The sequence below is a fragment of the Homo sapiens genome, chromosome 8 (genome assembly GCF_000001405.40).
Source record: "Homo sapiens chromosome 8, GRCh38.p14 Primary Assembly".
NCBI lineage: Eukaryota > Metazoa > Chordata > Mammalia > Primates > Hominidae > Homo > Homo sapiens.
Window position 1 is genome coordinate 120,956,666 of NC_000008.11, and position 9,930 is coordinate 120,966,595.

At 38.3% G+C, this 9,930-nt stretch overlaps 1 annotated feature.

Annotated features, from left to right (window-relative positions):
- Positions 232 to 281: an enhancer, noted in NCBI's record as "active region_27850". NCBI's record gives its function as "activates an Ori minimal core promoter by ATAC-STARR-seq in GM12878 lymphoblastoid cells {active_cell/tissue: GM12878}" and the evidence as "EXISTENCE:reporter gene assay evidence [ECO:0000049][PMID:35858748]".

The following is a 9,930-nucleotide window of genomic DNA, read 5'->3' on the forward strand; positions in this document are numbered from 1 at the left end:
CTGAGCGACGTAGTTGCTTGGGTAGAAATCCCAGCAGCAAAAGGCTCCGAGGGAACATCAGAGTGGTGGGAGAGAGGCAGGGATGTGGGGGAGATGGATGCACCGCTGAGTCCTGCAAACAGGAGCCCTGGGAAGGAGTCTGCAGGGCCAGCTGAGCCTCTGGAGCACCACGCAGGGCACCACTGCCCCCTAGTGTTCCCAGGGAAAAAGGACCTAACAACCAGGTGAGGCAGGGAACCCCAAGTCTTGGTGCTTCCTTCTGCTCTCCTCTTTTTAGCCCCCAGGGTGGAAGCGCTAGATCCAGAAAGGAGGGAGCAGAGAGTGCTCGAAGCCCACAATGCTCTGTTCCCACCCAAGCTTTAGAAAGACAAAGCGTAGACCACACCCCGCTCCCTACTTTAGGTTCCAAGCTAGGAGGCTGCTAGGTGCTGAAACAGGAGGTTGAATCAGGGGAGAAAGACTGCTTTAAAACAAAAGGACTGTGTTTTTAAATAACTGAAGGTGTTCAGGAATCCTGGAATATGCCTAAGGTGTCAATATGGAGGGGAAAAGGAAATTTGACAGAGGAGAATGAGAATAAAATGATTTCTTGTTTATATCACAATGAGTTTAAACTTCTCAGCACGCACACGTGCTTAAATGTATATAAACTTAAATTCGCACAAATGTTAAAAAACCTTATATATGTATGTATATATTTATATATGTGTATACACACAATTTTATGCTTATACATTTATATTTTTACTTATAAAAACATGTATGTATGTACACACACATACTTTCCTGTATACATTTATTGTGAAAATTTGGAAAGTATATATAAAAGAAGGTGAAAATTATCTTGTCACTCAATAACTTCATTGCATTGTATTGCATAAAACAAATGCCTTTTGAAAAGTCTTCCCCGTTGAGACGAGTTGTACGGACATTGTTTAAGACATTTGATAGATAATATGAAAGTGTTTTCTGTAGAACTTGTGCCAATTTAGTGTTTCTGACACCCTTCACAGCATCTGGCATTATAATAGTGTTGACATGACTAATACAAACTTTTGTCAATATGGTAAGTAAAAAATAGAAGCCTATAATTTATTTGCTTTGTGTTTCTTTTATTAGTGAATCTAAATTTATCATTAGATGTATTCTGCTCATGCATATGACTTTTTCTGTAATTTGAGTGGTCATGACTATTGCCTATTTTTAAAACTCAAAGGATGGGTATGATGGCTCATGCCTGTAACCCCAGCACTTTGGGAGGCCAAGGTGGGAAGGATTGCTAAGCCCAGGAGTTCAAGACCAGCCTGGGCAACATAGGGAAACAAAAAATTTAAAAAATAGCTCGGCATGTTGGAGCACACCTGTGGTCCCAGCTACTTGGGAGGCTAAAGTAGAAGGATTGCTTGAATTTGGGAGATTGAGGCTGCAGTGAGCTGTGAATACACCAATGCACTCCAGCCTAGGTGACAGAGTGAGACCCTGTTTTAAAAAAAACAAAAATAAAAGGCTGGGCACAGTGGCTCACACCTGTAATCCCAGCACTTTGGGAGGCTGAGGCAGGCAGATCATGAGGTCAGGAGTTCGAGACCAGCCTGACTAACATGGTGAAACCCTGTCTCTACTAAAAATACAAAAATTAGCCGGGCATGGTGGTGCACACCTGTATTCCCAACTACTAAGGAGGCTGAGGCAGGAGAATCGCTTGAACCCGGGAGGTGGAGGTTGCAGTGAGCTGACATGGCGCCATTGCACTCCAGCCTGGCAGAGTGAGACTCCATCTCAAATAAATAAATAAATATAAAAATATTGAAGGGTTTATTCTCTTTTTGTTTTAGAAAAAAACATTTATATACTAAAAATATTCATGTTGTGTAATGTACTCTGAAAATATTTTTCCTGTTTGTCTTTGAATTCAATTTATGTTACTTTTTATGCTACAGATGTTTTCAACTGATATGCAGTCAAATATATCAACAATTTTCGTTAAGATGCTTACTTGTTTTTCTGCTTAGAATGGCTTTCCTTACCCTGAGATCAGAAAAATTTTGCCTATATTTTATTCTATATTTGCTTTGTTTCATTTTTAAACATGAAACACTTCAAGTTATGCTGAATTAATTTTGATTTAGGTTTTGTGGTAGGAATCTACTCCCCTGTCTCTCACCCTGGTATTACATCGATGATTAAGGAACATTTATGGAATAATTTATTCTGCCTTAAATGCATTAAGAGTTTGTTTTCATAGAGAGTCAACATGATGTAGGGTGAAGATCACAGACTTTACAGTCAAAACTGCCTGGGCTTCATTGCTTTACTTTGTTATTTACTAGCTGAGGACCAAGGCAATTCACTTAAAATCCCCAGTTACCTTGTAATGTAACATAGGCCTAATAATATCTTAGCAGGTTTTAAAGAGGATTAAATGAGATAAGTAACCTGTAATACTTTGGTAGTATGTGTTAAAAGATTTAGTTTCATTATTTTGTGTTCTGTTTACTTGAACACATTCTGAATTGGGAGCCAGAAAATATGAGGATTTCTTTATAACCCCACTATTTTTTGAGCAATCCACTTCACTTTTTTTATTTCAGTTAATAATTTCTATAAAGTATAAGCAATAGTTACAAAAGAACAGTCAGTTTTTATTGTCTCAAATGAGATTGTTTCTCTGTATTATATATATATAATACATATATAGTCTCTATGTGTGTATATGTAGAAACATACACATACACATATATATACACACATATACATACACACATGCACACACACACACATATATATATATAGAGAGAGAGAGAGACAGAGAAAGGATTTTAAAGCCTGTAAACAATTCTAAAATACGTTTATTAAGATTTCCTTGAAGAATTGGAAACATAGTCCATCTTTAGAGGCCAGATTCTTAGTTACATCTTCGAGTTGGCTTTATTAAACTGAGAAAAATTGAAGTTATGATGCAGCTGCTTGATTTCAAGTAACAGAAACTGAGTCTGCTTAACTTATGCAGAGAGGGAGTTTGGAAGGATGTGGAGTTGCTCATGGAATAGGAAGGAGGAATGACAGCAAGGGACTACACCAGCTGTCTGTGTGTGGTTGGGGGCAGTGGGAGCCCGGTAAGTGGATTCTTTATATTCAGAACTGAAAAAAAAACCTTGTCCTAAACACTCCCCCAACCCCAAGAAAAAAAAAATCTGTGTTCAATTTTTGTTTTGAATCATTCTGAAGATGAAAACTTTGGGGAAGAGAACATATGTGGCCCCAGCTTATGTCGTGTGCTCACCTTTGGCTAGAGGTGGGTATGGTGATTTAATGACACTTGCAAGACTATGTTTAGAAAGGGTAGAAGGAATTCCCCAAAAGGAAATTAAGGTGATATTCAATATTTAGATGGATGTGATAGCAGGTGGCAACATACAACAAATGTCACAGTGCAGTGTCAGGCCTGTTTTCCTGCACTAGCTTTATGGAAGCCTGAGTGAAAGAAGCAATCAGGAGAGAATTTCTAGGATAGAAGCCGAGTAACTCTTAACTTGGCTTGTCTAGACAGCTTCACTTCTAGGATGGTAGCCCCGCGTTAGTTGCCCTTGCTGGGCTCATAATGGTGATCTACCTTTTCAAGACATATGAGGACGGGGAGAGGGTCCGTGATGCTGCCGCTACAGGGGCCCTGGAGGTCTGAGCTTAGGGAATATTCAGTGTCTGATATACTGTAGCCCAGAACCTTAACCGCAAGCAAGTGCCACATTCTTCAGAGACAATAAATGGCAGAGGACGAACACAACTAACTGCTCTCTTAGTCCTAAGACTCAAGACTTTTCTGTTTTGGCATAAAATTAAATCTCCTGAAGTCTGTTTCTTAAGAAAAGAAAGGAAATGGAAACATGAATTCATAAGGCTGCACCTTTCTCTCTCTGCAAATTCCCGAGGGAAGGTGATCCATTAGAAACAGAGGCAGACATGCCAAAAGCAATAAAGGGGCAGGCTCTCTGGGCTAAGCAGCTGTAGTTAAAGGCTTTCCCTGAGAATCTTGCTCATTCATTCATTCTGGGTTTGGAAGTGGGCCAAGCTGTGTGGTTTCCCCACAGCAAGGGGCAAGATCCTAATGATTAAATGTTCTTTGTTGCCTTGCATTTCACTTTTTCTCAGTAATGCACTTTGAAGAATGGAAAATTGAGTTTTCAATACTTTGTTGTTTGCTGAAGCCAAAGCTAGAAGTAATTGAAGCCAGTTGAAAGCAGAAGGGAATGGCCAAGGTAAAACGTACAGCGTGGAGGAGGCCAAGGATTAAAGTTTGGTGCCTCAGTGGATCACGCTGTCTTCTTCTGTGCCATTTCTCATCTTTATTGTGCTGAAAATCTTAGTTGCAATTTGTTTTTGGAAAATCAGGTTATCGTTTGGAAATTACATGCCTTTCCACATTCTCTTTGGATTAACAATACTTCAGTGTAAGTAAAAGACATAGGACCAGAGTAGTAAGAAATGGTTTCTTAGTGGGCTGTAAAGTGTTACCATTCTTTGCTTGAAAATCTCAGGCTGCATCTAAGCAACTAGAGGCTCCTTTTTGACTTTATTTGGCTATTTGGCCAGAACCTTGTTTAAATAAATTAACATCCCTATTGAATCTTTATGAGCACATTTGAGTTATCTTGAAGAAATGTTTTTGTTTGGTAATGCCGAAAATTGATTAATTATTTAAGTAGATTTAATACCTGGACTAGTTCTTGTTACAGTGTAGGTGATCTATACATATTAATTAAATGAAAGAATCAATTAGGTTACTTTCTTCAACCCATAAACACGGAGGAAAAATTCATTGAAACAATGGTATGGCTGACTAAGTAATTAAAATCTTTTAGTCTGGCGACCGTTTATAAACACAGTTCTAGTCTTCAACTGTTTGTTGTGGATGAAAGAGAATGTATTTGTGGGTGGGAAACTACTGCTCTTTTAGGTTGAAGAGCCAGGCTGCGTAAGGTCTAGTTCCTACACCAATATCTATTTGCAGCAAAAAAGTTGGCTACTTTTAACTTCTTTAGGCTTATTTTGGCACTTGATTCAGCTTGATTTAGGGCCAGAAGGAGAGTGAGACTGTGACAGTGGCAGGAAATTTCAGTGGAAAAGTTTGGCTTCTACATTTTGTTCTTTATTCAATAGCTACTTTTTAAATGTTGATAACATGCAAAGCAATATGGAAGCTGTTAGGCATCCCAGCCAAGAACTTATAGTAGATACAATTACCATTACATATATTCCTTGAAACACCTTTATTGAAATGTAATTTATATACCTTAAAGTTTACCCATTTTGACTGTGTAATTCAATTGTTTGTAGTAGGTTTACAGAGTTATGCAGCCATCATTACAATTTAATTTTAGAATATTTTAATCAACAACCCCTCCCAAGTAAACTCTTTACCAATTAGCTCCCCATCTCCTCTCCTCCAGCTCCAGGAAACCACCAGTCTACTTTCTCTATAGATTTGCCTATTCTGGTTATTCTGTATGAATGGGATCATATAACCTATGGTCTTTTATATCTGGTTTCTTTCACTTAGCATAAAGTTTCTGAGGTTCATCCATGTTATAGAATGTATTAGTACTTCATTTATTTTTATGGCTGAATAACATTTGATAGTGTTTATCCATTCATCAATTGGTGGGCTTTTGGGTTGTTTACACATTTTTGAATGTTACGAATACGGCTGTTATAAACATTTGTGTACAATTTTTTTGTATGACCATATGATTTCATTTTTTTTGGGTATATACCTAGGAATGGAATGGTTAGGTCATGTAGTAATCTTATATTTACTTTTTTGAGGAACTGCCAAACTGTTTCCCACAGTGACTTTATTTTACACTCACATTTACCATGTCTTTATTTAAAGAAAAAATGAGAATCTATTGCAAAAGTGAAAAGATTATTGTACTCACTGAAGACAGTATGTTTATAAAGTGTTCAGCACGGTGTCACATCAGATGTAATCCTCATAGTAGGCCTATATGGATGATATTATTATAAAGCCCATTTAGAGATAAGAAAGCTGAGGAGTGAAGAAGTTCAGGACTTGTCCAAGATCACACAGAAAGTGGTAGGTAGATCTGAGACTCTTAACATGTATTCATCTGGCCCCAGACCGGTGCTTTTAAGAGCTGAGTTTCCCTTTTAGTTATGGAGATGAAAATTAGCATTTATACTAATCATGTACTAGGTAATCAGCATAGATCTAATCGAGGGGCTATACCTTCTAAAGCCATGGGGCTACCCTTCTGATCCAGGATGAGATGGCAGATGCCACCCAGAGCTTGGTCATCAGTGTTACATTGATTAAAGAGGTCATGACATTAGAGGAAATTTCTGTTTGATCCATTTTAAGGGGTTCTAAATCTAAGAAAATGGGAAAATAAAGTACCTAATTAGCTTGGTTGAGTTTGTGCCATAATCCCAAAGACACAATCCTAAATGCCATGATCCCAAATGTTGAAATCCCTAAGGATCAAAATTCCTAAAGTCAACAATCCCCCAAATCACAATCCCAAATGATCAAAATCAGAAAGGTATAATTACACAAAAAATTTTTTTAAATATGCTTGTTTACATTTTTAAAAGGCAATTTACCTGAGAAACATATAAAAACACAACAGAACACTTAGAACACTTCATAGGCCACTTTACAAATAAAATAGGCAAAAATAACATACATATTTTTGCAAATATACCTAAACACTCAGGTATACTAATGACAGTCACATGGATATCAGAGTTTTAAGCAGATGAACTGTATTCATAAAGAAATACGTCAAAAAGAGAAATGTATAGATGCATGTCACTATAGTTGGTAACTGTGTGCACCCACCTTTATAACTGTGGTCATCTGAAATACCATGATGGAAAACCTAACTCTTGATAAAAAGAATCAAAAACCATAATGAGTCACCACCACCTATTGCAGTCGCCCAAAGAGATAAGATCTTGAGGAATCTTATCATCTTTCACAAATGCAGATATACAAAAAGAACACTTCTTCATTCATTAAGGAAGTTTCAATGCTTTTACATACACATACAATGCTTACACAGAGTCAATGTTGTGATAATGTGCTTTTGTGGAGTCAAATTTGCAAAAACTACATAAAACAAATTAGAACTTTTTAAGAGTCTACACATTTTCATGCTGCTGATAAAGACATACCCAAGACTGGGACGAAAAAGAGGTTTAATTGGACTTACAGTTCCACATGGCTGGGGAGGTCTCAGAATCATGGTGGGAGGTGAAAGGTACTTCTTACCTGATGGCTGCAAGAGAAGAATGAAGAAGCAAAAGTAGAAACCCCTGATAAACCCATCAGAACTCATGAGACTTATTCACTATCATGAGAATAGCATGGGAAAGACCAGCCCCCAGGATTCAATTACCTCTTCCTGGGTTCGTCCCACAACATGTGGGAATTCTGGGAGATAGAATTCAAGTTGAGATTTGGGTGGGGACACAGCCAAACCATATCACTACGTAATTTATAACTCCAGTATTGGAAATGATGTGAAGATAAAATACATAGCACAGTGAATTGGTGCTTTGGCAAAGGAAAATTCTTCATTTTTCACCCTTTGTTTTCTATGATCTTTGAAACACTTGTTGTATTTTGAAAGCAGTTGTGGTCTACAAGTTTTATAAGTATATGCAGTTCCATTTGAAAGCCTAGCTATTGTTTGGCTTTTGGAATTAAGCAATTTTGTTTTGCTTTTGCAGCACCAATAATAATCAGCTTTTAAACTTTCTTTAAACTACCTTTCACCATTAAGAAGCCTCATACACTTAACTCATAGCCTTTTTGCAAGGAAATAGTTTCACTGATTTCTTCCATTATGTTGTAAGGCATACAGTAGGAAGGAATAATATTCAAACTCCTGAATACCAAATCCGTATTAGGGTTCTCCAGAGAGTCCAAACCAACAGGATATGTGTATAGATAAATGAGAGGATTAGGGGAATTGGCTCATGCAGTTACAGTGTCTGAGAAGTTCCAGGACAGGCCATCTGCAAGTTAGAGACCCTGGGATGTCGCTAGCATGGCTCAATCCAAGTCCAAAGGCCTCAGAACTGGGGAAGCTGATTGTGTAACTCCCAGTCTGAGGCCAACAGCCTCAGGACCCGGGGGGCCACTGGTGTTAAGTCCTAGAGTTCAGAGGCAGGACAGCTTGGAGTTCTGATGTCCAAGGCAGCAGAAAAAAAGGTCTGTCCTAGTTCTCAGAAAGAGACTAATTTGCCTTCCATATTTGTTCTTTGGCCCCCAGCTGATTGGATGGTGCCTGCAAGCCGTAAGGGAAGAGTTTCCCCCACCATATCTACACAGACTAACACTTTCATCTTCTCTGAAAACACTCACAGACCCCCAAAATAATGCTTTACCGGGTTTCTACGCATCCTTAATCCAGTCAAATTGACACTTAAAATAAGCCCACAAGTTCCCACCTTGTCAACATGGCACCCAAACACATCATCTTAAACCATACTTAATTTCCAAATAAAAAACAGCAAGGTAATAGTTCTGCCTACCATGATGCAACTACCCTGAGAATAACCCAACACACAAATTCCTTCCCCAGAATTTGGTTTTCAGGATTTCAACATTCGGGATTTTAATCCTTCAGGATTGTGACTTTTTGGATTTTAGACGTTAGAGATTTTAGACTTTAGGGATTTTGATTGTTTGGGATTTCAACACTTGGGATTATGGCGCTCAGGATTGTGTCTTTTGGAATTGTGATGGGCACTGAGTTAGCTCACACAATCTGGTGAGTGCTTGCTGCAGACCAAGCATTTTGCTGAGCGAGATTCCATTAGACACAGTAAGTCCAGTCTTCACAACAGCACTCTGAAATAGGCACTGGGATTGGCTCCATTCAGCAGATTGGGAAATACTGGCCTAGTGTTAAGTGCTTTTGCCTTGGTCATGTATCTACGGGAGGTGACATAGCTGGGACTTACACGCACGAAACCTGGTGCCAAAGCCTGGGTTCATAAGCTTAACGTCATGAAATCCTTTTAGAAGCAGCAACCACCATGAAATTTACTCTGCTATAAGACCTCACTGTAAAAGATTGGTCTGTGGTTACTTTGAAAATAGAGGATTTAAAATCTATGTCCAGTAAATGCAATTTTAGTTTTCAACTTCAAAGTAATATATGAATAGAATTATAGCTTTTTAGTCTTGACAAATGTCACCATTCTATGGCAAACTTTTGAAGAGAAATGTTGTGTTCCAAAAGCTGCAAGTACATTAAATCTTTGTGTACAAAGCCAAAACCTTTTTCTCTCAGTGGGATGTTTTGTTGTGGGATTCCTGGATAACCCACATTAAGGACTGTCTGTAAAGAGAGAAAATCAAGTGATGGTATCATACAGGCCAAAATAACTGTCTATAGGATGTCTTGGGGTCTTTGGTGGCATCCTGTGGGAGACAGCTCAGTTCTGCTCCTGGGATAACTGGTAGAAGACATTCTTCCAGGCAGCTCTCAGAACTTGGCTTTCAGGCTGCACACAGAACTGGAACAGTACTGGGAAATGGTCAAAACTGTACATTTTAACAAAGCTAAAAGGAGAATTTTGAATGTTTTCACCACAAAGATACATTAAATATTTGTGGTAAGAGATATGCTGATTAGCCTGATTTTATCATCCCACAATGTATACATGTATCAAAATACCACATTGTACTCCATAAATACATGCAATAACTATCTGTCAATTAAACATAAAACAAAGAGTACAAGAAAAAGAGGAAACAAGATCAGGGACAGGGGTGATGTGAGCCCTGATCACACACATACTCTCTCATGTAATTCTCATGAAGGAACTGAACACGCTGCTTAATCCTTCTGGGTTGTGCTTTCTTAGTCTATCTCTTCATAGAGTTGTTTTGAGGAT